We start from the raw sequence: 27,610 nt of genomic DNA, 5'->3' as shown, positions 1-27,610 counted from the left end.
CCACTCCTGAATTTTCATTTACTCCCCACACCTCCCCCACACCCAGCTGAAGTGAAGACTCAAAGCCCAGAAGAAAGAGCATCTTTGAAAAAATGGTCACAACTGCTCCAGCCTGTGTGTTTCCCCAGGTTCCTGTAGCAACCAGGTAGCTGTAATTCAGGGACAGAGCCAAGAAAACCTGCCTTGGACAGGTAGATCTCTGAGTTGGGTATTCCTTTTTTTTTTTTTTTTTTTTGAGACAGAGTCGCTCTGTCGCCTGGGCTGGAGTGCAGTGGCGTGATCTCAGCTCAGTGCAAGCTCCACCTCCTGGGTTCACGTCATTCTCCTGCCTCAGCCTCCCGAGCAGCTGGGACCACAGGTGCTCGCCACCACACCTGGCTAATTTTTTTGTATTTTTAGTAGAGACGGGGTTTCACCGTGCTTGCCAGGATGGTCTTGAACTCCTGACCTTGTGATCTGCCCACCTCGGCCTCCCAAAGTGCTGGGATTACAGGCGTGAGCCACCGCGCCCGGCCTGAGTTGGGTATTCTTAAAGCTGAGATGTGCAAAGATGCGGATGGGGCCCACCTGTAACAGACTGTTCCACTTCCCAACTGGTATCAGGTGTCACTGCAGCAAGAGGGATTTAGGTTAGACCAGGGATAGATTATTTGCAACGAGCGATGAGTCGCAGATCTGTGGGGAGCCATGGAACACCACATGTCACCAAGGAGGGGAAGTATAAGGGACTTGCGCAGGCTCTTCTGAAAAAGTATGGATTTCTTCTTGAGAAATGAGGATTTTTTGCAGAACCACCCACCCTCTTTCACTTTTTGGCCGACACTAAAGCTTCCCAGAGTGAATGCATGCACATGCATTCAGATTCAGATCTACACTGTCATCTAAATATTCCACCCTTTTTTTCTTTTTATTTATTTGTTTATTTTTTTTAGACAGAGTCTTACTCTGTTGTCCAGGCTGGAGTGCAGTGGTGTGATCTCGGCTCACTGCAACCTCTGCCTCCCTGGTTCATGCAATTCTTCTGCCTCAGCCTCCCAGGTAGCTGGGATTACAGGAGCACACTACCATACCCAGCTAATTTTTGTATTTTTAGTAGAGACGGGGTTTCACCACGTTGGCCAGGCTGGTCTCGAACTCCTGACCTCAGGTGATCTGCCCACCTCAGCCTCCCAAAGTGCTGGGATTACAGGCATGAGCCACTGCTCCCGGCTCCCTTTTATCTTTTTGAAGAGGGGTCTCACTATGTTGCCTGGGCTTGTCTTGAACCCCTCGGCTCAAGGGATCCTCCCACCTTAGCCTCCTGAGTATTGGGGATCACAGGCATTTACCACCACACCTGGCAAAACATCCCATCCTTATCTTGCTAGTAGGATTATAAATCTCTTGAAGAAGCTATGTTTGTTTGTTTTCCCTTACTGGGGTACTCCCTAAAAACAGATATGGTGATTCTTACTGTTTTAAATTTGGTAAAATTTAAATCCCAAGGGATACCCCAAATTTGCACCTAAGAATGCTCCTGTCCACATCACACAGCCCCCCACATGTGACACATACATCACAGAGAATGCATCTCCAACCACCCCACATGCATCACCTTCTTCTCTACATTCGGCCCCGAAGCACTCTTTCCTGTTCAAAGTCAAAGGTCACCTCTGTGATGCTGCCTCTGAGTCAGACGCCTGTAGGTGTCTTCTACAGAAATCTATTCATAACTTCTCTTAGCATATTTTATTATAATGATGTTTGTCTGTGTGTCTCACCATTAGCCTATGAGTTCCTAGAGGATGAAAACTGTCTTCTTTGTACATCTAACATCTAGCATTAGTACATAGTAGGCGCTCAGTAAATGCTTGTTGAAGGGAGGCGTCAATCAATGAAATGCAAAGCGCACAAGTAGGCTCCAGGGTCCCCCAGGGCAGAATGGATGTGTGATTGCAGCACTGGGATTGAAGCTGCAGCCACTGGATCTGCAGGATTCCATAAGAGGCCTGGAAAAGCTCAGTTCTGCCTCAGAGAGTCCACGTCCAGAAGAGCATGGACTGGAGAAGCTCAGTGGGGAAAGCTGGGAAAAGCTGGGAGAGGAGTCAGAAGGGCTAGGGGGTCACCCGACGGCAGAGGGATGTTGAACAGTGCCCCCCAGCAAGGAGTGCTGCCACCAGCTGTCACTCAGAGGGGCCAGGAACCATCCTTCACTGTTCCTGGCTCTGGACTCCCACTTCTGCCTCTCTGCTGCCACCATGGACCCTAAAGAGGCGAGCTAAGCCTCTGAGTTCATTAGATTCTATCTAGGGTTAAGACAAGAACACCACCAACAGGCACCACCATACCACCCCACCCGCTAGTGCAGAAGCAGCCGGGCGGTGCACTCAGCCGGCTGCCTCAGCGGCCTCGTCAGCCCCCTCCTCGTCTTGCTCGCCATTCTGGAGCCTGCGCACGATGCGGGTAAGGTCCAGGCTTCGTGTCAGTGTGTCCAGGAGCATCTGGTCCTTCTGGACGCCCTCTATAAACTCTTCCAGGGAGAGTTCCCCTGGGGTAGAGAGAAAGGGAATCAGGGGGAGGAGGGTGTTCATTTCTGCAGTCCAGAGCACAGAACCGGGTTCTTGCCAGGGGCAGGGACAGAGCCCACGTGAGGAGAAGTCAGAGCCCCTGCTGCGGGTGCAGCAAGCAGAGGAACCCAGAGCCCAGATTCTGGTCCAGGGGCCCCTAAAAGCCAACTTTGTGGCTGGGGCAGAGGCAGGTGGAGGAAGTGACCAGCACGGGGGCCTTTGGGCCTCTCCTCCCTTCCTCACCCTCTCCTTTAGTGACCTTCCACCCCTGGTGACCCCACATCCATGGTGACCCCTCCGCTGGGGAGCCCCTCCTCGGCCCCCTCACCATCCCCGTTGACGTCAATCTTGGAGAACACTGTATCGGTGAACTCCTCTGCAGTCATGGTGGTATCGCTGCAGGGGTTAATGGCGCGAATGGCCTGGGAGGGAAGAAGGGGCAGAAGTGAGAGGGGCCCATCCTTATCCTATCTCAGGGGTAGGATTGGGGACGGTCAGAGCTTGTCCGGCTCCCAAGAGCAGTGAGGAGTAGAGTGCAGGGTACCCGGGGGCCTAGGCAGAGCTGGGACTCAAGAGTCAAACTTCTATCGTCTTTTGGTATTGATGAGGAAACTGAGGCCAAGGAAGGGAAGGAACGTGGCCTGGGTCACGCAGCTGGTGAGGCCTACAGCTGCCACCAGGATCCTCAGTCCCACATCCTGTCTCAATCCTGAGATTGTTGTTCTAACCCTGGGCTCTCAGTTCCGGGTCCCACCCCAGACCGCTGCCCCCAGCCCTGGCCGGGCCCTCTGCACCTGGATGATGGTGAGCAGCTCATCGCGGTCAATGCAGCCGTTGCCATCTACATCATAGAGCTTGAAGTACCAGCGGAGCTTCTGTTCCACCTTCCCCTTGAGGACCAAGCTGAGCGCTGCCACGTACTCCATGAAATCAATGTAGCCGTCCTGGGCGAGGGGCGCGGCCGCCGTGAGCCCATCCGGGCCCCGCTCACTCCAGCCTCAGGCCCCGCCCATCATAACCCAAGGCTCCGCCCATCTCGGCAAGCCCCAAGAGACGCTGAGGGGAGACCCGGACCCTCGGAGATGCAGCGAGGGGGCCAGCCCTGTCTCCGCCGTGACCTATCTGTCTTCCTAGACGCCCTGTATAGCCCACCCTGCCTACTCCAGAGGCTGCCAATCAAATCTAATAAGCCAGCATCCACTGGGGTGTGAATGGCTGGCGCTGTCTGTTCACAGGCATCTGGGTTTTAGCGAGCGCTGCCTGCTTCCCTGTGATTGTCAAGCATGAGCCTTTCCAGTTAGGGGAAATGGGAGACATGTGCGTAGGTGGGAGGAGGAAGAACTGCACCCCCAGGGATGGGAGCGTGGTTTGGGTGAGCTTTTGGGAGTTTCTCACCCTGCTGCCTGAGGGGCTGAGGCCCCCGGAAGGCCTTAAACACTCTGAACCCCACAGTGGGCTCATTCAGTCCCAACCCACCTCCCAGGACTGTCATCAGCACAGAGCCCAGAGAGGCCCCTAGACAGCACAGCTTGAATAAGCAAGAAAACTGCTAAAGAGGTTTCCTCTGGGGGAGGGGACACCAGGTGAGGATACTTTTGCTCTTCATTTTTTATCTTTCTGTATTGCTGGAAATTTCTACAATGAGCTGGATTGCTTTTGCAGGTTTTTTTTTTAATGTCTAAAAAGGGGCAATGGAAAAGGTGTGGATTTTTGTGCCAGAAAGATCTAAATCACCTTGGATAAGTCACATGACCTTGAGTCTCCGTATTCCCAGGTATAAAATGGAATGACAGTGTGCACTTTTCAAGATTGTGGTATGCATTAGATTCAATGAAAATATATAGCAATACTAACTTTTCTTAGTGCTCTCCATGGACTTCCTAGGCTGAGTGCTTTATTCATTTTACTCATTTAATCTCAAGCCACCCCCAAGAGGTGAATATTTTTGTCTCTAGTTTGAATGACAAAGCCAAAGTTGAGAGAGATTAGGCCAAACAGCTAGTGAATGACAAAGCCTCTCCTAAATCATCCTATATCAGTACTCAAATGCAGATGGAGATTTGCATTGATTTGTGTGCACCTGTGTGATTGTCAGACAAACCCAAGCCCAGACAAACATTTGAAGTAAGCAAAGCAAATGGCCTGTCCCCCAGGTTTCACTCCCCAGTCACACTCTGTACTCCCCAGCCCTGCACATCTGGTGCAATACCCAAAGATACAACCATTTTTTAGTGCAAGGGCTGGCACTTGCACTAAAAACTTTTTAGTTTTTATTAGAAAATGGCAAACTTTTTCTGTAAAGAGCCAAAGAGTAAATATGCAGCTTTGCAGCCAAACACCCTCTGTCATTTTACGTGAAAGCAGCCATAGACAATTCTCTACGTAAATAAATAGATGTGGTGAGTTCTAATAAAACTTCATTTACAAAAACAGGCCTGTGTGCTGTCATTTGCCTGTCCCTGTTTAACTCCTCTCTGTATCAAAACTTCTGGACAGGTGCAGTGGCTCACACCTGTAATCCCAGCACTTTGGGAGGCCGAGGCAGGTGGATCACCTGAGGTCAGGAGTTCGAGACCAGCCTGGCCAATGTGGTGAAAACCTGTCTCTACTAAAAATACAAAAATTAGCCAGGCGTGGTGGTGGGCACCTGTAATCCCAGCTACTCAGGAGGCTGAGGCAGAAGAATCACTTGAACCCAGGAGGTGGAGGTTGCAGTGAGCCGAGATCGTGCCATTGCACTCCAGCCTGGGTGACAAGAGCAAAACTCCATCTCAAAAAACAACAACAACAACAAAAAACAAAACAACAACAACAACAAAAACTTCCCAATCCTGTGTTCCATCTCCTAGCCAATCTGCTAAACTGCTCCATGCTGATGACAATGGGTCAAGACAGTATTATGCAAAGTGTGATTGTGTGCCATGGGTGTAGATGAGGCAGGTTGGGTGTTACAAAGTCACTCTTCATTTTAATATTTGCAGAGTTAAATTGATGTATATTATAAAATAACTAGCCATTAAATTCCTGATTTCTCATATATTCATTCACTCATACAATGAATATTATTAAGCACCTGCCACAATCCAGGCACTGTTCTAGGAACCAGGGATTCAACAGTGAACAAGACAAAAATCCCTGCCCACATGGAGCTCACATTCCAGCAGGGGGAGACAGGCGATAAACGTAATGGTGAAATGTTATTTAAATCTGGTATTGGAAGACGACAGGTGCTTGCGGGGAAAGGTGGGACTAGGAAATGCAGAGGTGGGAACCAGTCCCAGTTTTAAACAGAGTTTAAACCAGAAGATCACGGCAGGGGTTAGTGAGGAGACTTCTAAGCAGAGACTTGCAGCAGAGGAAGGTGTAAGCCGAGCAGAATTCTGGGGGCAGAGAGGGTCCCAGGCAGCACAAAACCCCTAAGGCGGGGGTGTGTGTGGAATAAGGGAGGAGGCCAGACTGCCTAGAAACAAGGGGTTGATTTACTTTCAGTGGAAAGACAAGGGTCAGGTTTGGTACAGTACAGGTGGTGCTCGCATGGGACACACATTAAGACATGGTTGGCTCAGCGTGGTGGCTCACGCCTGTAATCCCAGCACTATGGGAGGCCGAGGTGGGCGGATCACCTGAGGTCAAGAGTTTGAGACCGGCCTGGCCAACATAGTGAAACCCCATCTCTACTAAAAATACAAAAATTAGCCAGGCATGGTTGTGGGTGCCTGTAATCCCAGCTACTTGAGAGGCTGAGTGAGGCAGAAGAATCGCTTGAGCCCAGGAGGTGGAGGTTGCAGTGAGCCGAGATCACGCCACTGCACTCCAGTCTGGGCGACAGAGCGAGACTCCATCTCAAAAAAAAAAAAAAAAAAAAAAAAAGACATGATTAGGCAAATACAGGGTCGATGTGCCCCAGGGTTGCCCTCCCCCACCCCCACCGGCGTCATATGTGTGACTGTAAGGGTCCTTCTGCAGACATGTCTTAACCCAAAGGGTTTTCTTAGCAGGTGAGAAGATGAGATATGTCGCTGTTTGGGGGTAAGGTGTGAGGCTCAACCATCCATTTGTCCTTCCCCTCCTGTTCAGGAGTTATTCCTTCTTCGGGAGCATTTTGAGTGTTGAATGTGATGATGCCATCCCTCCCAGTCTCTGTACACAGGCTCTGGACTCTGCTCACCTGCTCCCGCTTCGGGAAAGCCCTTGGGCTCCCTCATACTACACCTGAGGTTGACACTCAAAGCCCGTAATCTACTTTGGTCCCTTATCCTTAAATATTAGTGAGTTTTAAATAGCCACTGAGCCCCAGCTTTCCCAAGAAGCCCCACCCATGATGGTGCCTGGACCTTCTGGGCAGCGAGGGAAGGAACCTCTCCCGGGTCTGCAGAGGACACGCGGCAGCGCCTCATTGCATCCTCACTTTTCAAGTGAGGGGCCACAGGGTGGGGAGCCACGTTTGCAGATTTGGGCTCTTCCACAACTATGTCTTGACCAAATAGTTCCAAATGAATGGAAGATTTACTATGAAAACCAACAAACATCTTAACTAATGCTCCCAACATCCACGGCATCATGAATATACTGGGACTGAGAGGGGAAATGATGGGCTCAAGGTCACCCAGCGGATGAAAGCTAGGGACCCAAACCCACAGTCCCAAACTCACCTTTCAGTGACCCCTCTAGCTTATCAATTAGGAAGTCCTTACCTAATGCGTCCAGGTGGCTACTGAGGAGACACAATTTGACCACGGTGTGGACCTTCAGGCTCACTTGAGAAAAGGTGATATGAGGTCACTGGGTATTTTGAAGTTGGGAGCATTCTGGGTTCTCCAGGGACCAGGCAACCCTGTCTGTCTCCAGTCCTCATGTCCGCAGAATATTATAAGTGGCCTGCCCATGCCAGACAGTGAGGCTAGAGAATCATCATCTTGCTCCCTGCTCTCTGCCCCTCTGCCCACATCCTTGGGAGCTTCAAAGGGTGTTTGCAAAAGCACCACGTATAGGACCAGCACATCGCAGGTGTTCAATGACCATCTTGGAAGTGTTTACACTCGTTTTGGAGTAAACCAAGATATGCCTGTGGCAGAGGTGGAGGAAGCCATTGGATTCAGCCTCGGATTACACTAATGTGTGGGCCTCTCTGTCTTGCCCTAGAAAGTGAGGGCAGGGACAATGTCTGATACATTTCTAACCCCCCAGTGCCTGATTCACAGTTGGTGCTCATTAAAGCACAAACATTAGATCCGTTGAAACCCTAGTGTCAAAAACCCACCTATCAAATAAACAAATGACTGTATAAATGAAGTTGCTCCCCAGCGGACACTTCTATGCTCCTCTCTGCTCTTCCTCACCCCCAGCTGGTCAGGCTTCCAGAGGGGTCCCTCCAGCACTTCCCCTCCCTGCCACTGGGCCCCTGCTCACCTTGTTGAAGTCAAAAGTCTCAAACATCTGTTCCACGTACTGGCTGGCCGACGGGCTCAGGTTCTTGAGGCCGAAGAACTGGCGGAACTCATAGAGGGTGAGTTGGCCAGAGGGGCACTCAGTCATGAACTTCTTGTACCACTGGTGGCACTCGGTGCTGCTCAGCTCCTCCACTGACTTTCCCTCCATCACGTTGCCCATTGCTCAGGCCTTCAGGGGGCTGACGTCTGAGATGGACAGGCCCTGTTCGCTGCTCCTCGCCCAAAGGTGTCTTGGCCGACAACGGGGCCGTCCTCTCTCACAGGCCTGAGTCCTTCAGGCCTGAGCAAAGAAGGGCCTGATGGATCAGATGGTACCGGGAAATGTGGAGAGGGAGAGAGCAGAAGGAAGAAGATGATGGCCCACACTCAAACTCACAGATGCCAGAGAACTGGTGTTAAGAGTCTCCACTAAATCCTTGCAGCCCCAGGGGAGACTGTACCCTGGAGAAAAGAGTTGAAAATAGAACAAGGCTTAGAGAAGCAGAGTCCTTAGGATTACAGCCTTGAGCTGTAGGTGAGAGGATTTTTTAACCCAGTTTGCAATCTTCTAATCCCTTCTTACCACCACGGAGTGGGTGTCAGCTAGAAGCTGCTCTGATCCTATGACCTTTGTGACCTTCTTCTCCTGGTTTGAGTGGATTCACAGTGGTTTTGGATTCTGCCTTCAATCATGGAATTGAGGTATATATGAGATAGAGCTGGCTTCTTGTCCAGAGATGGCCAACTGTGGGCTCTTGACAGGGCTGCTGTGTACAGTTATCCAGGCTGTGCACTGCACTTGGCCATCACAACTGAGGGGGTCCAATCATACCATGAGTGTGCTAACATTTGAGGGCACCTGGGTGGATGCAGAGTCTGTGGGCTTCCAAGATAAGCCTTGAACAGCCAGAGAGAACCCCCTCCTACATTAGCCTGCACCAGTACACAGAGACGTGCACACACATACACACACTCGTACACACTCATCCTGTTCTGGCCACACTCTCATGTTCCTGAAGGTTGCATCTCTCCCTTCTTGAGAGCCCTGAATTCATCCTTCCATCTAATTCTGAGCCTCACATCATCACCATCACCTACTAGGGGCACAGGGCAGGGGACATGGAGTGTGCGCCTGGTGCCCTGGGGTATGTGTGAGTGTGAGAGTGCAGGCACACAGGTGCATGGGTGAGCTGCTACCTGCTGGTCCTGGAAAGCTCCCAGGCCAAGCCTGGGGGCCTGTCTATGCAGCAACAGCTTTCTCTGATGCCTGGTGGGATGCGTACTCCCTAGCCACACACTTAAAAGCTGGCTCATTTATGGAACCAGCATTTGGGTGCAGGTGCACTTAACCTGGATGCTGCCAGGAAAGCTTAAAGCCAGCGCTTGCCCTGCCCTGTCTTTTTCTCTTGTTTGCCTTCCTCCTTTACATATGGGGCACACCCAGGTCTCCTAACTCATCTAGAGGGAACCACTGCCCATATTTCTGCTTTCCCCACCAGGGCCTTGGACACTTGGTCAAGTTGTGCACTGATACACAATTTATATGATTTATATAAATAATATATAATTACATGTAAATAGATTTATATAAATATACAATTTATACAACATATAACATATATCAAATACATGTGCATACATATTTCAGAATGGGCTAGGTTATGCTACAGTAACAAACCACTCTAAAATCTCAGTGGCTGAAAACAATACAAGCTTGTTTCTTGCTTACATTACTGGCTGGGTGACCTTGAGCAAGTAACTTAACCTCTCTGGGCCCCAGTTTCCTCATTCTTAAAATAGGAATAATGGCGCCCATCTGATAGGGCTGTTAAGGGGAGTAAGTGGGGCTGGGCACGGTGGCTCACACCTGTAATCCCAACATTTTGGGAGGCCGAGGCGGGTGGATCACTTGAGGCCAGGAGTACGAGACCAGCCTGGCCAACATGGTGAAACCTCATCTCTATTAAAAATACATAAATTAGCCAGGCGTGATGGTGCACACTCCTGTAATCCCAGCTACTCGGGAGGCTGAGGCAGGAGAATCGCTTGAACCCAGGAGGCGGAGGTTGCAGTGAGCCAAGATCGCACCACTGCACTCCAGCCTGAATGACAAAGCGAGACCCTATCTCAAAAAAAAAAAAAAAAAAGAGTATGTGAGTTAATATAAGAAAAGCATTTAGAACAAGGTCTGCCCCAGAGTAAGTGCCCCATAAATCTTGGCTATGATGTTATGATTTTGTATCTATTACAGCAGCATGTCTGATGTGCTGTTCACTACAATCTAGGTGCACTTATACTGCATCTTGGACACAGCAGCATCCCTGGGTTAGAGCCAATCGTGCTCTTGTCCCTTTAGCCCCATTCACTCTGGGCCCTGGACGGCCAGAAGGGCTATGTGTAGGAACAGACATCCAACCTGCCTCACACAGGCCACCTACCAGCTGTAGTCAGGCCCTAGGGAAGGTGGAGGCCTTTGTTAAAGCCTTACCAGATCCAGGCTCACGCCTGTAATCCCGGCACTTTGGGAGGCTGAGGCGGGTGGATCACAAGGTCAGGAGTTCGAGACCAGCCTGGCCAACATGGTAAAACCCCATCTGTACTAAAAATACAAAAATTAGCCAGGCATGGTGGTGGGCGCCTGTAATTCCAGCTACTTGGGAGGCCGAGGCAGGAGAATCACTTCAACCTGGGAGGCGGAGTTTGCAGTGAGCCGAGACTACGCCATTGCACTCCAGCCTGGGCGACAGAGAGAGACTCCATCTCAAAAAAAAAAAAAAAAATTGTTCATAATGAACATATGTTGCTCACAAAATCAAAGAGGATAGTTATTTTTGAAAAAGAGACAAACTGGGACTGTTTTACCTCTACTCCACATGAATTGATTGACGGAAGGTATATGGGGGTGGGGAGCTGGGTTCTCCCTGCTTCAGTCAGCTTCTCCACAACAAGTTAAGGGACGGGGAGAGAAGGACTCCTTCTGTGAACTTGCTTGGGGCCCAGCTGGAAAATGTGTCCTTGCCGAGGACTCTCAGGCCCAAGATTGGGAAATGAAGAGGTTGGGGACAAGGCAGCCGCTCATCTTTCCCTTTCTATTTAAATCCCTCTCACTCTTCATGTGTGAGTACAAATGCCACCTCCTCTGTGAAGCCTTCCCAAATCTCTCTCAAATATCTTCCTCCCACAGCATACTGACATTTTGCTTATGTGTTGTGACAGTTAATTTTAGGACTGGATGAAGGGATTACCCAACAAGCTGGTAAAGCTTTATTTCTGGGTGTTTCTGTGAGGGTGCTTGCCAAAGAGACTGGCATTTGAATTCATGGACTAAGTAAGGAGAATCTGCCTTCAGCCTATGTGGGTGGGCACCATCCAATTGGCTTAGGCCTGGACAGAAGAAAAAGGCAGGGGAAAGGTGAATTCTCTCCCTCTCTCTCTCTCTCTCTGTCCTGGAGCTGGGACACTCTTCTTCTCCTGCCCTTGGACTCCAGGACTTGCACCAGTAGCAACCCCTCCCCACTCTCACGTTCTCAGTCCTTCAGCTTCAGACCCAGAGTTACACCATCAGTTTCCTTGGCTCTGAACCCTTTGGGCTTGAACTGAGCCATGCTACTGGCTTCCCTGGTTCTCCATCTTGCAGATGGCATATTGTGGGACTTCTCAGCCTCCATAAACATGTGAGCCAATCCCCCTAATAAATCTTCTCTCATACCTCTATATATAATCCTATTAGCTCTGTCTCTCTGAAGAACTCTGGCTAATGTGTGTGTTATATTAGTTTTCTATGTTGCATAACAAATAACCACAAAGTCAGCAGTTTTAAAACTACACACATTTATTATTATTATTATTATTATTATTATTATTATTATTATTATTATTTTGAGATGGAGTTTCACTCTTGTTGCCCAGGCTAGAGTACAATGATGCGATCTCGGCTCAGCACAACCTCCTGCCTCCCAGGTTCAAGCAATTCTCCTGCCTCAGCCTCCTGAGTAGCTGGGATTACAGGCATGTGCCGCCATGCCCCACTAATTTTGTATTTTTAGTAGAGACAGGGTTTCTCCATGTTGGTCAGGGTGGTCTCAAACTCCCGACCTCAGGTGATCCACCTGCCTCAGCCTCCCAAAGTGCTGCGATTACAGGCATGAGCCACCGTGCCTGGCCACACATTTATTATCTCACAGTTTCTATGGGCCAGGAGTCCAGGCACAGCTTAGCTGGTCCTCTGCCTAGCGTCTCACAAGGCTGCTCTCAGGGTGTCACCTGGGCTGTATTTTCATCTGGAGGCTCAACTGGGGAAGAATCCACTTCCAACTTATTCAGGTTGTTGGCAGAACTCATTTTGTTGTGGCTATGTGACAAGGGAGCTGGCTTTTCACTTGACATTGCCTGGGGGACACACTCAGGTCATAGAGGCTGCCCTCTGTTCCTTGTTACACCAGCTTCCTCACCACGCTGCTTATTTCATCAAGTCAGCGAGAAGAGTCTCTCTGCAATCTGCTAAAGTCTATATAACCTAACATAATCCACAGAGAGACGTCCCATCACCTTTGCCATATTCTATGGGTTAGAATCAAGTCAAGGGCCTCACCCACACTCAAAGGGAGAGAATTTTACAAAGGTAGGAACAACAGGAGGTAGAAATCACTGGGGTCACCTTAGGGTCTATTATGACATTCACTCTTCTACAATAACACGGACATAGCATTCATTTCTTTCCAGAAGTATTATATAGGCAACTCTTCTTGCCAGCCTGCTCTAAGGAACCCAGCAAGCTCACAGAGGGTGGAGACCATTCTGTTATTTGTGTCTCGCCTGCCCCCAGCTCCTGGCACCACACATTCCACATTGTCGTGCGCTAGTTGTTCTGTTTGCCCAGCCCCGACTCATTCTCCCCCTTTCTCCTCCAGCTCTGAGCCCCAAAGACTGACCCTACAGACTGCATCACCCAGACTCTGCTGCCCTCTTGTTTCAGGCTGGGTTCATCTGCTGAGAAGCTGGAGGAAGACTGGAGGGTGGAGAGGGAGAAGAGCTGGGACATTTGTTGTCCTCACTCCTCCCTGCCAGCTCAGGGTTGGGGCAGCGGTTATTTCCTTCCACCTTCAATCACCGCTCCTGCCATAGCTCTCTGGGCTCCTGTAATCATGGCTCCCTCCCTTTGCCCCGCCAGGCATGATAAGGGCTTCCCTCTCGCTACTGTCTGGGTACATCACCATTCCCTTAACTATGCCCAGCTCTCTGTTAATAGTCCCCACATCAACTCTCCTAAATTACCGTTTTGAGAGTAATATTTGACTGACGGGCTTGAGCCCAGTAAAATATTGAGTGCATGCATGCATGCACATATGATTAAAGAAAGAATTCTTGGGGCCGGGCGCGGTGGCTCACGCCTGTAATCCCAGCACTTTGGGAGGCTGAGGAGGGTGGATCATCTGAGGTCGGGGGTTCAAGACGAGCCTGGTCAACATGGTGAAACCCCGTCTCTACTAAATATACAAAAATTAGCCGGGTGTGGTGGCGGGTGCCTGTAATCCCAGCTACTCCAGAGGCTGAGGCAGGAGAATCGTTTGAACCTGGGAGTCGGAGGCTGCAGTGAGCCGAGATCGCGCCATTGTGCTCCAGTCTGGGCAACAAGAGCGAAACTTCGTCAAAGAAAAGAAAATAAAAGAGAAAAGAAAAGAATTCTTAGGCCGGGCAGGGTGGCTCACACCTGTAATCCCAGCACTTTGGGAGGCGGAGGCGGGTGGATCATCTGAGGTCAGGAGTTCGAGACTAGCCTGGCCAACATGGTGAAACCCTGTCTCTACTAAAAATACAAAAATAAGCCGGGCATAGTGGTGCACGCCTGTGGTCCCAGCTACTCTGGAGGCTGAGGCAGGAGAATCACTTGAACCTGGGAAGCAGAGGTTGCAGTGAGACGAGATCGTGCCATTGCACTCCAGCCTGGGTGACAAGAGTGAAGCTCCAAATCAAAAAAAATTCTTGCCAGGTATGGTGGCTCACGCCTGTAATCCCAGCACTTTGGGAGGACGAGATGGGTGGATCACAAGGTCAGGAGATCAAGACCATCCTGGCTAACATGGTGAAACCCCGTCTCTACTAAAAATACAAAAAAAAAAAAAAAAAAAAGTTAGCCAGGCTTGGCGGCGTAGTCCCAGCTACTCAGGAGGCTGAGGCAGGAGGATGACGTGAACCCAGGAGGCGGAGCTTGCAGTGAGCCGAGATCGCACCACTGCACTCCAGCCTGGGCGACAGAGCGAGACTGTCTCAAAAAAAAAGAAAGAAAGAAAGAAAGAATTCTCAAAAAGCTAAAATTGGATGAAACTATGCTTGTTGAATAGGTGCACAAGTCCTGTGGGGTGGGTATTATTATTGCCATGTGAGACAAAAGGGGCTTGGGGCAGAAAATTTAAATCACCTGCTCAGGTTCACGAGCACTTTAGTGGTGGTACCAAAGTTTTCCCACCTCATCATCATGCTTTTCTCCTAAGCCTTCACACCCTGCAGAAGGGCTGGATAGAGCCAGGGGGACCCCACGAGCCCCTCACTCCAGCGCCATCTCCCTCAGTCCTCCCCTTGTGGCCCTCTGCCCAACAATTCCATTGACAGAGAGCTTGCTCCCTTTGAGGGAGGAGGGCCCCCACCCCTTGTCTCCAGCCCAGGGTGGGAATGGAATCCCCTGAGACAGGGATGCCAAGGCAAGGAGGACTGAGATCAACACCAAGGCCCCAAGGAAGCAGTATGCACAAGGTATGCGTTAGGGCACAGAGGGCCAGAGTACAGGTCACACAGCATACACAGGGAGGATTCCTGCCTTCCCTGGCTGCTCTGCCTGCAGGAATCCCTCCTGGGACAGAAGCCAGATCAGAGGAAGAGGCTCCACCTGGCGGAATGGGGCCGAGGGGAGGGAGGATGGGGCAGCTGCAGAGAGGTAGGAAGACAAACCAGGAAGAGACAGGAGGGGCAGTGATCCAGGCCAGACTAATCCCCCCCTAAGGCTGCCTGCTTGCCCCTCTACTCCACAGAAACACAGAAGGACCCTGAGCACAGGTTCAGTTGCCTCCTGGGCCTATCTCACTCAAAACAAGGTGGTACCTTGGCCGGTTTCTTTAAAGGGTTTCTAAGGGCGTCCATGGAGGCTGCATTACCAAGGTGAACCTCAAGAGGGAGCCCATTCTCCAGGGTAGGGGAGGAGGCGTTTGTTGTGGGAGTGAAGACGCCTCATGGGGATCCTGCCCCTCACCCTACACAGGCTATAGGATCTGGAAGGGAAGGGACGGTTCCTGTTAATATCTTTGCATCTTAAGGACACAGCCCACAGGGTCTGTTGGGTGACTGACTGATTGAATGAGCAAGACTTCTAGTTATACATAGACTGAAAACTTCCACTTATCTCTGCTTCTTTTCAAAATCCCACTAAAATATGAATAAATGCATGTTTTAAAGACAAAAGGAGGCCGGGCGCAGTGGCTAACGCCTGTAATCCCAGCGCTTTGTGAGGCCGAGGCGGGCGGATCACCTGAGGTCGGGAGTTCAAGACCAGCCTGTCCAACATGGAGAAACCCCGTCTCTACTAAAAATACAAAAATTAGCCGGGCATGGTGGTACATTCCTGTAATCCCAGCTACCCGGGAGGCTGAGGCAGGAGAATCGCTTGAACCTGGGAGGAGGAGGTTATGGTGAGCCAAGATTGCACCATTGCACTCCAGCCTGGGCAACAAGAGCAAAACTCCGTCTCAAAAAAGGAAAAAGGGGCTGGGCACAGTGGCTCACGCCTGTAATCCCAGCACTTTGGGAGGCCGAGGCAGGTGGATCACCTGAGGTCAGGAGTTCAAGACCAGCCTGACCAACATGGAGAAACCCCGTCTCTACTAAAAATACAAAATTAGCAGGGCATGGCGGCCCATGCCTGTAATCCCAGCTACTCGGGAGGCTGAGGCAGGAGAATCGCTTGAACCCGGGAGGTGGAAGTTGTGGTGAGCTGAGATCCCGCCATTGGACTCCAGACTGGGCAACAAGAGTGAAACTCTTATCTCAAAAAAAGAAAAAAGAAAAGAAAGAAAGAAAAGAAAAGAGGAAAAAAGACAGCAGATACAGGGGTTCTAATAAAATTTTGGAAAACAAGACAGATGGACAAGTGGTAACTGTCTTTCTTATGAGAGTGGAGAAAGTCGAAACCTAAATGCTTTCAAAGAGGAGGAGCCTGCGGAGCTCGGGACAAACCTATTCCTGCTGCAGGAATAGGGAGGCAGAGATACCAGGTGCCCCTGAAGGCTGGGATGCAGCACAGGTGGAGCAGAAAATAGGGCTGGCCAAAGTTTGCATAAGGAACACTTAGCTTCTCCGATGCCCTCCGCAAGGCAGCAGAACAGGCATCTCCCGGCATCAGTCCCCTCCTGACCCTGATTGAAGGTTCTTCTGGAGATTTGGGCCAGAGAGCCGCTAGTCTCTAGGCACAGCCTCAGGAAGAGACATGTGCCATTCTATAAATGGAGCGTTAAAAGAAAGTCTACATATGGACAGTGAGAAAACCACCATGCGCCTTCCCCCACCCCAGCTCATTCCCGTGGCTGGCTCCTTGAACACTGATGACCAAGCAGAAGGAGAGACCTGGTACAGATGCCAGATGGTCTGAGGCCAGCCAAGGCTCATCAGGCATTTGAGGAAAACCTCTAACTCAAAAGAGAGCCTACAGCAAGCCAAGAGGAAAACGCGGATTCTATGCTGTTAGGGTCGCCTCGAGGGGTCTCCACTTCCCTCCACACTGCTTACCATCTTCTCAAAGAAAGGCCCACAGGACAGCCTGGCCTTGTTGTGGGCTGCTTGTCGGGGTCTCTGGACACCTGTCTCTCCTTCCCACACCAACCCCAACCTCTCCTGCACAGGAATTATGCCCCACAGAATACACCACCATACCTACAGAGGGACGAGACTCCTAGGAATGAAACCAGCTGAATTCACCCTGTGGTGTGCTGGTAAATGTTTAATGATGAGCTCTCTGGAAAAAAGAAACTCCAATTTGTAGGCATTTGCTCACTTCTGTGGTGTAAATGCTCCCACCACAGCTGATTCCAAACTGCCAACAGGAAGTCACTGATTGTGGGCCGGGTGCGGTGGCTCACACCTGTAATCCCAGCACTTTGGGAGGCCGAGGTGGGCAGATCACAAGGTCAGGAGATCAAGACCATCCTGGCTAACATGGTGAAACCCCATCTCTACTAAATATACAAAAAAAAAAAAAAAAAATAGCCGGGTGTGGTGGCGGGCACCTGTAGTCCCAGCTACTCAGGAGGCTGAGGCAGGAGAATGGCGTGAACCCGGGAAGCGGAGCTTGCACTGAGCTGAGATCACGCCACTGCACTCCAGCCCGGGCGACAGAGCGAGACTCCGTCTCAAAAAAAAAAAAAAAAGAAATCACTGATTGTGGAGTAGGGAAGACATGGGCACAACCAGCTCTTACAAGTCAGTACAAGCTGGCTCCAGCACACCACTGGGGTTCCCTCTGAATGGCAGTGACTGGGAACTCACTCAGGCCCCTGCTGTGAATCCAGTGCCCTCTGCCTCCATCCCCCTCTTCCATGCCCCATGACCCATGAGCTCAACTAGCCTCAGAGCCAGCTCTTCTAGACCAGAGGAGACGGCAAGGATGGGAAATCCTTCCCCCACCAACAAACTACAAGTCAGAAGCAGCAGCTTTATGTAAAACTGGGTCTGGGAGGGGACCTAGAGTCTGTGTTCATTCCCTGCATTCTTCCTCATTCTGCAGCAGCTGCTCCAACCAGGGTAAGATGACCTTGTAAGAGAGCAGGAGTCATGGCCAGTTGATGGATCTCTTCCTTTTTTTAAATTAATTTTTTTTTTTTGACGGAGTCTTACTCTGTCACCCAGGCTGGAGTGCAATGGCATGATTTCGGCTCACTGCAACCTCTGCCTCCTGGCTTCAAGGGATTCTCATTCCTTAGTCTCCCGAGTAGCTGGGATTATAGGCACCTGCCATCATGCCTGGCTAATTTTTGTAGAGACGGGGTTTCACCATGTTGGCCAGGCTGGTCTTGAACTCCTGACCTCAGGTGATCTGCCCACCTTGGCCTCCTGAAGTGCTGGGATTACAGGTGTGAGCCACCACACCCACCCTCTCTTCCTTGGAGGGGTCCGAGCCTGGACCATCGGGAGGCTGGAGCTAGGATGGGCTTTGCTTGGGACTCAGCTCTGGAGAAGGGTTGAGGTTACTTTTGGGGTTAGGGAACTGAGAATCAAGTCCTTCCAAGTCTTCAGAAACCTCTGGACATAACCTTACTGTATAACATCCCCATGGCCTGTTTACCTACCCACAGCCACCCATTCAGATGCCAGGGAAAGGAAGGACAAACTTTAACTGCTGCTGAGAAGAGAGACCTCCCTTTATCATTGTCAATAGGTGGGCATGGCACAGCTGTCTTAGCCCGAATATAGGTCACTCCTCCTGCAGTGAGCAGCCCTTCCCCTTGGGGACCTGAGGTCACAGGGGTGAGGGTGAAGGGTCGGGGGCTTCCGTTTGGCTCAGGCCTAGGAGCGCCACAAGACCAAGTTGGCAGGAGGCACATCAAAGCGCTTGCGGGTGTGGTCAGTGTCCCGGCGGTACAGGTAGCCACAGGTAGGCTTCTGCAAAGTGTAGAAGGGGTTCAGGGAGTTGGAGTACTGGGAGGTGTAGAAATTGAACCTGAGCTTGTCCGGATTCTGCCCCTTAGAGTCCACAACGACCGGCACATAGGCTGCTGCCAGAGACTGCTCGAGGTCCTGCTTCCACGCCCGGGGCCGGGACGAGTGTGGAGCCTTCACCCCCTTGCATGACGGTGTCTTTGGCCCATGACTGGGTACAGAGGGTTTCTGTGAGTCCTGGGAGGGGGGAAAGAAGGGGAGAGCTGAGGCATTGGATACTGGGACTTCAACTGCTATGCCAGGGGCAGAAGGGAGGAGAAAGAGCCACTGCTCAGAAGCCCCCAGAGCCACTCTGGAGCACTGCTGTGCTGACCATGGAGCCAGGGACCTCCAGAGCAGGGGAGAGCCATCAGGGTCCCCTGACCTGGCCCCCTGCTGCTGCAGAACTCTGCCTACCTACCAGAGGCAACTGCCAGCTCCCAGAGGCTAGGAACCTGGGGATTATCTTCAGTCCCTCCCCACCCCCCTTCCCTGCATCCAATCGTCTGTCCGTGTCCTTGGCCTGGCTCCTGTGTGGCCCTCCCCTCCCTCTTCCCTGCCACTGCTCCGTCAGGCCTTCGACCTCTCTATCCTGTGGGGCCCCTCCAGCTTGCCCTCCACCAGGGCTTCCTGTCTCCCACCCTCCTACTTGGTCACGCTGTGCTTCACACTCACAGAGCGAGACTCCATCTCAAAAAAAAAAAAAAAGAGTTTCGCTCTTGTTGCCCAGGCTGGAGTACAATGGCACGATCTCGGCTCACTGCAACCTCCGCCTCCTGGGTTCAAGCGATTCTTCTGCCTCAGCCTCCTGAGTAAGCTGGGATTACAGGCACCCGCCACCACGCCCGGCTAATTTTTGTATTTTTAGTACAGATGGGGTTTCACCATGTTGGCCAGGCTGGTCTCAAACTCCTGACCTCAGGTGATTCACCCGCCTCGGCCTCCCAAAGTGCTGGGATAACAGGCGTGAGCCACTGCGTCCAGCCTACTGTGTCTCAAAAAAAAAAAAAAAAAAAAAAAAAAAAAAGAATGTGGCTTCCACTCTCCAGTCCCTCCATCCCTCCACCTACCCAGCATTTCAGCCACACAGTCTACCTCTTGTTCCCTGCTCACATCCGGTACTTCCAGAGCCTGTACCTTGGCTCAGGTGTTCCCCAGCCTTGCGTGCTCTCCCTCCTGTGCACTAGGGAAATTCTGTCTTTCCCATTAGAGTTTCAGCTCCTTGAGGGCAACTATCTCATACTCTTACCCTTGACATAACAGCCTCCAAAATCCTATTTACTGTTTTACTCCAGAAGAATGCATTTAGAGAAAGCTTGATAAATGCTGGATCAATTGAACTGAATTCTAGTAAGGGGTACCCGCTCACTTTCCAGCCAGCCAGCCCATTCTATTTTATAACATATCTCATTGTTACCAAATGTGTCTCCTACTCACCCATACCTACCTCGTCCTAACCACCACTCTTGGTTGATTACTTATTGGGGTCTACTCAATCTCTAGGAGGCCCCCATTGACACATTTAGCGCCTCACATTGACATTTATTTATTCCTCTGTCACTACCCTTCCTGTGACCAAGCTATCCTGTTCACCTTCAAATCCCCACACCACGTTTCAGGTACCAGCTGTACATTTTACTAGGGACTGTCCTCACCGTGACAGCACCACCAAAGGATGAAGCATCTGTAGGCAATCATCCATCCTGCGTGTGTGTCAGGCTGGATCTATTCTGCTCCCCCAGGCTTCAGCGGTCAGGGGAATCCATTTCCTCTCCCCCAGCCTCACAGCCCTCCAGCCTCTAGGCACTGTGAGAGAACCCCTAGGTACAGGGTTAGTGGAAGTTGAGCTCCTGCCCTCTTACAAAAGAAGTCTCCTTTGCTCAAATCATGATGTATTTCCTCTGTGTTTTGTTTTGTTTTTTGTTTTTTGAGATGGAGTTTCGCTCTTGTTACCCAGGCTGAAGTGCAAGGATGCAATCTCAGCTCACTGCAATCCCCACCTCCTGGGTTCAAGCAATTCTCCTGCCTCACCCTCCCGAGTAGGTGGGATTACAGGCATGCGCCACCACACCAGGCTAATTTTGTATTTTCAGTAGAGATGGGTTTTCTCCACATTTGTCAGGATGGTCTCAAACTCCCGACCTCAGGTGATCCGCCCGCCTCAGCCTCCCAAAGTGCTGGGATTACAGGCATGAGCCACTTCACCCGGCCTCCTCTGGGTTTAATTTACAAACTATCTGCCCAGCCCAAACTTGTCCAGGGCTTTCCTCCAAAGCAGGCTTTGTTCCTATTGGTTCCTACCCAGGTATAAATGTGCCCTCAGTTTTGCAAATTTGCAGTTTTTGAAATTCTTCCTATTCTTCCAAGTTCAGCAGCAGACTTGAAACCTTCTCCAGGAACCACTGAAGACTCCTGCAGCCCCTGTCCCATCTTGTCCTCTTCTGTGCCTTCTGGACCCCTCTCAGGATGTGCTCCTTCGCTGGAGGGACTAAGGTGAGTCAGGCACACACATTTTGAAGAAGTTGTCATTCAGAGTCCTACAAGTGCACTGGGACCGCTTGCTGCAGTCTCGTCTCATCTTAGTCCCAGTATAGTCCTTTGCTAAAGTCCCAACAGGCTGTAAACGGCTCCAGCAGTCAGGACTGCGTTCTATGCATCTCTTTTTCCCTAGAGCCTACCCCAGTGCTGATGCACAGCCACAAGAAATGAGCAAGTGTTCTACAGCCTTCCCAGACTCTTCCAGGCTCAGCCCCAGGGCACAGGGGCTTATAGGCAGAGGGGCAAGCACTGGAAATGAACTGTGATAGTGGTCATCAAAGATTGTTTTCTAGCCAGGTGCAGTGGATCACACCTGTAATCCCAACACTTTGAGAGGCTGAAGTGGGAGGATCACTTGAGGCCCAGAGTTCAAGACCAGCCTGGGCAACATGGGGAGACCTTGTCTCTATAAAAAAAAAATTAAAAATTAGCCAGGCATGGTGGCATGCACCTATGGTCCTAGCCACTCAGGAGGTTGAGGCAGGAGGATGGCTTGAACCCAGGAGGTCGAGGCTGCAGTGAGCTGTGATCACACCACTGCACTCCAGCCTGGGTGACAGAGCATGACCCCATCTCAAAAAAAACAAAAGATTCTTTTCCACTTCAGTCTGTAGCACCGCACCAAACCCTGTCAGTGGATTACCTCTTCTAATCCTCACATTAACCCTTTGAGGAAGGTGTTACTATTATTAGCCCCACTTGTAATTGACAAAAACTGAAGAGGTCAGTCCCCTGTCCAGGGTCACATGACTGGTGAGGAGCAAGGCTGGGATTTGAACCCAGGTCTTTCCACACCCTGTGCTCCATGACGTGTCTTGTGCCCACTGTGGTATGTGAGCAGGGCCTGCCAGGGGCCTGTGGATCTTCTATTTCTTTCTGTCCTCATTTCATCAACCCACTGAGCTCCTGCCAGGTGTGCTGGGTGGCAGGTGATTAGCCAAGGCTGCCCTGCACAGCTTCCGGCTCACTGGAGGGCGGGGCAGCCAGATTTCCCAGTCTGGCAAGAACACTGTGGGATTTTGACTGCTGGATTTGGGCTCTGGGTTCTTGGACCCTGCATGGACAGAACAACACACTGGGAAGTGTGAGGTCTACACCATGAATCACCATCTCTTAGCAGAGCTGAGGATAGGACATGAGTTGCTTCATTCGTTCATTCACAACCATTCCTGGGCACCTCTTGGATGCCAGGCTCTTGGTGTGAAGGTGACAAAGACACCACGACTGAGCACAAGAGGGTCCCTGTGGAGTACAGTGGCTCAGCCTTGGTACCTCTGCCTCTTTGGGCTGGACAATCTTTGTTAGAGGGGTTGTCTTGTGTCTTGCAGAATTACAGTGGTGGCTTCTACCCACCAGATGCCAGTAGCACCTTCTCCCAGTCGTGACAACAAAAATGTCTCCAGTCATCGCCCAATGTCCCCTGAGGGCAGTGACAATCAGTGCTATAGGACCCATGGCAATCTCTTTATCCTTGGTAGAGGCTGACATCCTGGCCTGGAGAATGCGTCCTTTCCTGGGCTGCAAGAAGCGGCTTAGGTTTCTTTGTGTTAAGGATGTGTCTAAGCATGTGGGTTTTGTCCTCCTGACGCCACAGAAGGGCCATGAAGATGAGGGAGCTGCAGATACCCCACCCCCCATCCCTGCTCCCCACTAACCCTTCAGCCCCAAGGCTGCATCAGCCTCTTGGCCATCTTGGGCTCATGGGGTTGGGGCCAGGGGTGACAGAGGCAGGTGCTTTTAGAATGGCTGGGGAACTGAAGAGAGCAGCCCACAGATGGAAGGGTGGCACTCTTTACTCACAGGATTGAGGATCTGCCAAATGTCAGGCATTAGCCACTCAGCTCTGCAAAAGCTCCTAAGAGCCATTTGAGACATTGCCTCCATTTTTCAGATAAGGAAACTGAGGCTCGGAGGCATCAAAGCATTTTTCTGAGTTCACAGTTTGTAGAATAGCATGTAAGTAACTTGCAGAAGTCCCACAACTGGTTAGTGTGGGAACCAGGATTCAAACTCTCTCCTCCCTTTCTGCCCTAGCCCAGGCCCTGGCTTGGGCCCACCTGCCCTGGGTCCACACCTCGGCTGTGTTTAGAATGCTGCTGCTGCAACATACAGGACTCTGGGGGCAGCAGGGGTAGGGGACAGCCAGGGTCCCCGGAACATCCAGGGATGAAGCCCTCACAAAAACTGGGACACAGACAGTCTAGGGGAAGAGGTGGAAGAGGAGGAAGAGGGAGTCAGGCAGCACTAGCCCTCCCCTGCCCTTTCTAGGGGCCAAGCCAGCCTCCAAGTGACTAACCTCAGAGGGCTGAGGACACCCCATTACCTCCCCCAGGGCCTAGCAGAGCCAGCTCTGGCTGAGGGTGGGGCCTGACTGCATACTTTCCAGGTTAACATCTGGTTTCTTTTAACTGGCTATTCTTTGCTCACATGCTCCTCGTCAAGTGTGCTGGGTGTGCGCACACTGTGTATGTGACTTTAGATCATTGGTTCTCAGCCAGGGGTGATTCTTCCTCCAGAGGACATTTGGCATGCATGTTTGGAGACATTTTGGGTTGTCACACAGTGTGGGGTGGGTGCTACTGCCTTCCAGCGGGTAGGAGACAGGGATGCTGCTATGTATCCTACAATGGACAGCCCCCGCAACAAAGAATCATCAGCGTCCAATGTCAAAAGCGCCAAGGTTGAGAAACCCTGGTTTAGAGGGTTGAGGAAGAAGCCCCATCTCCCCTACTGCTTCCCTCATTTCCATTCTACAGGGAGTGATGAAGTTACAGGACAAGTAGAGATTCTCACCAGCCCCTCCCCTCCCTTGGGAATCCCATGATCCTATTTTCACTTGGGTTCTAAGCTAAAGCCAAAAGAAGGAATCTAGGTAGAATTATCCCTCACTGGGCCAGCGTGGTGGCTCATGCCTATAATCCTAGCACTTTGGGAGGCCAAGGCAGGAGGATTGCTTGAGGCCAAGAGTTCAAGATCAACCTGGCCAACATAGTGAGACCCCATCTCTATTAAAAAAAAAAAAAGAAAAAAGAGCCGGCACCATGGCTCACGCCTGTAATCCCAGCACATTGGGAGGCTGAGGTGGGCAGATCACTTGAGCCCAGGAGTTTGAGACCAGCCTTGGCAACGTGGCAAAACCCCGTCTCTACTAAAAATACAAAACATTAGCTGGGTGTGATGGTGCACGCCTGTAATCCCAGCTACTTGGGAGGCTGAGGCAGGAGAATCACTTGAATCAGGGAGGAGGAGGTTACAGGGAGGAGGAGGTTACGGGGAGCTGAGATCAGCCAATGCACTCCAGCCTAAGTGACAGAGTGAGACCTTGTCTCAGAAAAAAGAAATATCCCTTCATAACCCCCATCCCCACAGGCGGACCCCACAAAGGCCTTTCAGATGCACAGTACACATGTATTAATATGTACATATATACTAATATGCGTTTGTCCCTTATGCCGGGGTTTAGAGTGAGGAAGTGCATGACTCAAGAGTGGGGCTTTCTGAGTAGGGCAAGAAGATCTCATCTGTGATATTACTACAGGTTTTCTAGGAAGGCACCCTGTCCTCTCAAATCCTCCAGGGCCATAGGCACATGGCCTTGCCCAGTGAGAAATTCCACCTGTAGCCTCCTCACTCTGGGGGAAGGCCTTGTGCCTTATTGAAATGCAAATAGCACTTGGGTGTGAAGGCTGGTGAGGGCCCCCAGGGGCACGTGGTGCTGTCCAATGTGCCTTGGCTTTGGTGTTTGAAGGTCTGAGCTCTGGGCCTGACCCTGTTCTTACAGGTCAGGCGACCTTGGGCAAGTGGCTGAGCCTCTTTGAGCTTCAGGGGCCTCATCTGCAAAATGGGGATAATAAGGCTATCTAATTCACCAGCTTGTGGTGGGGTGCCATGAGTGCTGGGAACGGTAAAGGCACAGTGCAAATAGTCATTACTCTCAGCCTCTCGGGCAGTTACACCGTGGTTTCACACACATACCTGTCTGAACCTATAGGAGAGCACGTTTCCCTTTGGGGGAGCACAGGGGCTTTGAAGGGAGTGGTTAGGGAAGCCGGGGGTAGGCCTCAGCTTCCTCATGTGACTGGGTAGCATGAGAGCCTGGAGCCAGCTACCCCAGTTCAAATTCCAGTTCCCTGCAGGGCCCGGTGGCTCACACCTGTAATTCAGCGGGAGGTTGAAGTGGGAGGATTGCTTGAGCTCAAAAGTTCAAGACCAGCCTGGGCAACATTGAGAGACCTCATCTCTATTTTATAAAAAAGTAAAAAAAAAAAAAAAAGAAAAAAAAATGGCTGAGCACAGTGGCTCACGCCTGTAATCCCAGCACTTTGGGAGGCCGAGGCAGGAGAATCACTTGAGGTCAGGAGTTCGGGACCAGCCTGGTCAACATGGTGAAACCCCGTCTCTACTAAAAATACAAAAAAATTAGCCGGGCGTGGTGGCAGGTGCCTGTAATCCCAGCCACTTGGGAGGCTGAGGTGGGGGAATCATTTGAACACAGGAGGCGGAGGTTGCACTTAGCTGAGATTGTGCCACTGCACTCCAGCCTGGGCAACAAAGCGAGTCTCAAAAAAAAAATAAATAGAATTCCAGCCCTCTCACTCACTAGCTGCCTGATCCTTAGGCAAATTATAATCTCTGTACCTCAATTTTCCGAAGTATAATGTGGGAATAACAAGAGCTCTACCTCATAGGGTTCATGTGAGGACTTAATGAGCTAGTCCATGTAAGGTGCCTAGACCTCTTAAGCACTCAAACTTTAGCTACAATTATTATTTATCTCAAGTTTGCCTTGGAGATGGTGTAACACGAACCAAACAGTCCAGGACACACTTTACAGCAGTGAAGGGGCAGAGGAAGCAAGATGGAGGGTGTCCTGTTCCCTCTCTCCATCTCCCCAGAGAGATCGCAGAGGTCCGACAGCTGGGGAGTACAAGGCAGGCAGCAGCACCAGCACCAGCACCCAACTAAGCCTTTTGTAAGAGGACCTACCTCCCAGCCGCACATGTGAGGCTGGCTGGGGCTTTCATGCTCTTTCCTGCCCATCAGGCTTCTTGTGACCCCGAGCTGACCTTCCCCAGCCCTGTGATTTCATCACACCTTGCACATCCTGGACCAGGGCCTTTCTTGATGGTGAGGTGGAACTTCTGGTGGTCAGGGAGGACTCTTGGCAGGATACTGAGAGTGCCAAGGTGGGGAGAACTTGTATGGGGCAGGGGGCATTGTGACACCTCTTTACAACACAATTCCTTCTGTCTTCCCAAGGAGACATGAGGCCAGGGCTGGGGACTGACGTTTCAGGACCTGGAAGGGTCTTTTAACCTTGACACTGGCCCACTATGCTATTCCCTCTTCCCACAAACCCATAGAACCCTAAAACTGTGGGCAGGAGGTGAATGGAGAGAGATCATCCTAATTATCAAGGTGCCTCCAGAAGTCCTAATATCCCCCCATGTCCCAATATCACTGTCAGGAAGGAAATGTACCTTGGCAACTCTTCATTCTATCTATCTATCTAATCTATCTATTTATTTATCTATCTATTTATCTATCTATCTATCATCTATCATCTACCACCTGTCAATCATCTATTTATCATCTATCTATCATCTATCTGCCTTCCAAATTACAGAGATGAGTGGATGAATGGATGGGTGGACATGAGTGGGAGGGTGGATGGACAGGTGGATGGACTGGGTTGGCAGATAGATGGTGGATGGGCCAACCCTTGTGATTTGAGCCCTGCTCATCTCCTTAGCCTCATCTCTTGCTATCTTTCCCTTGCTCTCTATGGAGTAGCTAGTTTCTTAGACATGCCCCACTCTCTCCCCTCTGAGCCTCTACATATGCCATTCCTTCTCATGGATTGCTTTGAACAGAGGGTTGGGAGATAAAGGGATGGATGAACAGGTGGATAGACAGATGGCTGAATAGGAGTGACCATGTGTGAGTGGATGGATGGATGGTCAGTAAATGGACAGATGGTGATGGCTGTGGTATAGAGGATTGCAGGTCTGGGAGTTAGAATGCCTGAGCTTGAATTCTGGCTGTACTACTTTACTAGTGTGTAACTTTGGGAAAATTAATTGACATCTCTATGCTTCTGTTTTCTCATCTGTAAAATGGGTAAAGTCCCTACCTAATAGAGTTGGGCAAAGCACTTAGGACAGTGCCTGGTACAGAGTAAGCATTGAGTAAACATCAGCTATGACTATGTGTGGGTGGGTAATTGGATTGATGGGTGGGTGGTTGAATGGGCTGTCCTGTCCCCATCTTCAAAAATCAGCTCCCCTACCTCCCTAGGGTCCTGTCTCCCCAATACCACACTTGGTAGGCAGCTTCCAGGAGTAATGTCAGAAATCCCACATGTAGGAATGACATGGGCTTCTCCCTTGGTTGAGGGGAAGGAGAGAGTTCCAGCGGGAG

The 27,610-nt window shown here is 50.9% G+C and overlaps 3 protein-coding genes across 6 annotated transcripts, besides 2 other annotated features; all 3 read right to left on the bottom strand.

Moving 5' to 3' along the window:
* On the bottom strand, window positions 1,714-8,406 carry GUCA1A (guanylate cyclase activator 1A). Its single transcript, NM_001384910.1, has 4 exons — window positions 7,956-8,406; window positions 3,341-3,490; window positions 2,875-2,968; window positions 1,714-2,527 (listed from the first exon to the last, which is right to left on the bottom strand). The coding sequence occupies exons 1-4, from the start codon at window positions 8,154-8,156 to the stop codon at window positions 2,367-2,369; spliced, it is 606 nt and encodes a 201-aa protein (NP_001371839.1). The 5' UTR covers window positions 8,157-8,406; the 3' UTR covers window positions 1,714-2,366.
* GUCA1ANB-GUCA1A (GUCA1ANB-GUCA1A readthrough) lies at window positions 1,714-26,364 on the bottom strand. 3 transcript variants are annotated; one of them, NM_001319061.2, is made up of 6 exons: window positions 26,177-26,364; window positions 18,304-18,850; window positions 7,956-8,437; window positions 3,341-3,490; window positions 2,875-2,968; window positions 1,714-2,527 (listed from the first exon to the last, which is right to left on the bottom strand). In NM_001319061.2, the coding sequence occupies exons 3-6, from the start codon at window positions 8,154-8,156 to the stop codon at window positions 2,367-2,369; spliced, it is 606 nt and encodes a 201-aa protein (NP_001305990.1). In that variant the 5' UTR covers window positions 8,157-8,437; window positions 18,304-18,850; window positions 26,177-26,364; the 3' UTR covers window positions 1,714-2,366. The 3 variants fall into 3 exon arrangements, with proteins under 3 accessions (NP_001305990.1, NP_000400.2, NP_001305991.1); NM_000409.5 differs by having other exon boundaries at window positions 18,675-18,850; NM_001319062.2 differs by lacking the exon at window positions 18,304-18,850.
* Window positions 2,036-2,740: an enhancer, noted in NCBI's record as "H3K4me1 hESC enhancer chr6:42146768-42147472 (GRCh37/hg19 assembly coordinates)". NCBI's record gives its function as "activates a minimal SCP1, AML or CMV promoter by ChIP-STARR-seq in naive H9 embryonic stem cells {active_cell/tissue: H9 hESC(naive)}" and the evidence as "EXISTENCE:reporter gene assay evidence [ECO:0000049][PMID:30033119]".
* Window positions 15,064-16,031: an enhancer, noted in NCBI's record as "H3K27ac-H3K4me1 hESC enhancer chr6:42133477-42134444 (GRCh37/hg19 assembly coordinates)". NCBI's record gives its function as "activates a minimal SCP1, AML or CMV promoter by ChIP-STARR-seq in naive H9 embryonic stem cells {active_cell/tissue: H9 hESC(naive)}" and the evidence as "EXISTENCE:reporter gene assay evidence [ECO:0000049][PMID:30033119]".
* Window positions 18,352-26,364, bottom strand: CIMIP3 (ciliary microtubule inner protein 3). Of its 2 annotated transcripts, none has more exons than NM_001370581.1 (2): window positions 26,177-26,364; window positions 18,352-18,850 (listed from the first exon to the last, which is right to left on the bottom strand). In NM_001370581.1, the coding sequence occupies exons 1-2, from the start codon at window positions 26,228-26,230 to the stop codon at window positions 18,521-18,523; spliced, it is 384 nt and encodes a 127-aa protein (NP_001357510.1). In that variant the 5' UTR covers window positions 26,231-26,364; the 3' UTR covers window positions 18,352-18,520. The 2 variants fall into 2 exon arrangements, with proteins under 2 accessions (NP_001357510.1, NP_001371923.1); NM_001384994.1 differs by having other exon boundaries at window positions 26,285-26,364.

The sequence above is a fragment of the Homo sapiens genome, chromosome 6 (assembly GCF_000001405.40).
Source record: "Homo sapiens chromosome 6, GRCh38.p14 Primary Assembly".
Classification (NCBI taxonomy): Eukaryota; Metazoa; Chordata; class Mammalia; order Primates; family Hominidae; genus Homo; species Homo sapiens.
The sequence above is the reverse complement of the archived record's forward strand: the minus strand, read 5'-3'. Positions and strand labels throughout refer to the sequence as shown.

Excerpts from the sequence above, each read along its gene's own strand:
- GUCA1A (NM_001384910.1), bottom strand. The coding sequence starts at position 8,156 with ATGGGCAACGTGATGGAGGGAAAGTCAGTGGAGGAGCTGAGCAGCACC. Across the intron at positions 3,491-7,955 it reads AGACTTTTGACTTCAACAAG|GACGGCTACATTGATTTCAT; the intron begins GTGAGCAGGGGC and ends CCCCTCGCCCAG. Across the intron at positions 2,528-2,874 it reads GATTGACGTCAACGGGGATG|GGGAACTCTCCCTGGAAGAG; the intron begins GTGAGGGGGCCG and ends TCTCTACCCCAG.
- CIMIP3 (NM_001370581.1), bottom strand. The coding sequence starts at position 26,230 with ATGGGCAGGAAAGAGCATGAAAGCCCCAGCCAGCCTCACATGTGCGGC. Across the intron at positions 18,851-26,176 it reads CTCACATGTGCGGCTGGGAG|GACTCACAGAAACCCTCTGT; the intron begins GTAGGTCCTCTT and ends CCCCCCTCCCAG.
- GUCA1ANB-GUCA1A (NM_001319061.2), bottom strand. The coding sequence starts at position 8,156 with ATGGGCAACGTGATGGAGGGAAAGTCAGTGGAGGAGCTGAGCAGCACC. Across the intron at positions 3,491-7,955 it reads AGACTTTTGACTTCAACAAG|GACGGCTACATTGATTTCAT; the intron begins GTGAGCAGGGGC and ends CCCCTCGCCCAG. Across the intron at positions 2,969-3,340 it reads AGCTGCTCACCATCATCCAG|GCCATTCGCGCCATTAACCC; the intron begins GTGCAGAGGGCC and ends CTTCCCTCCCAG.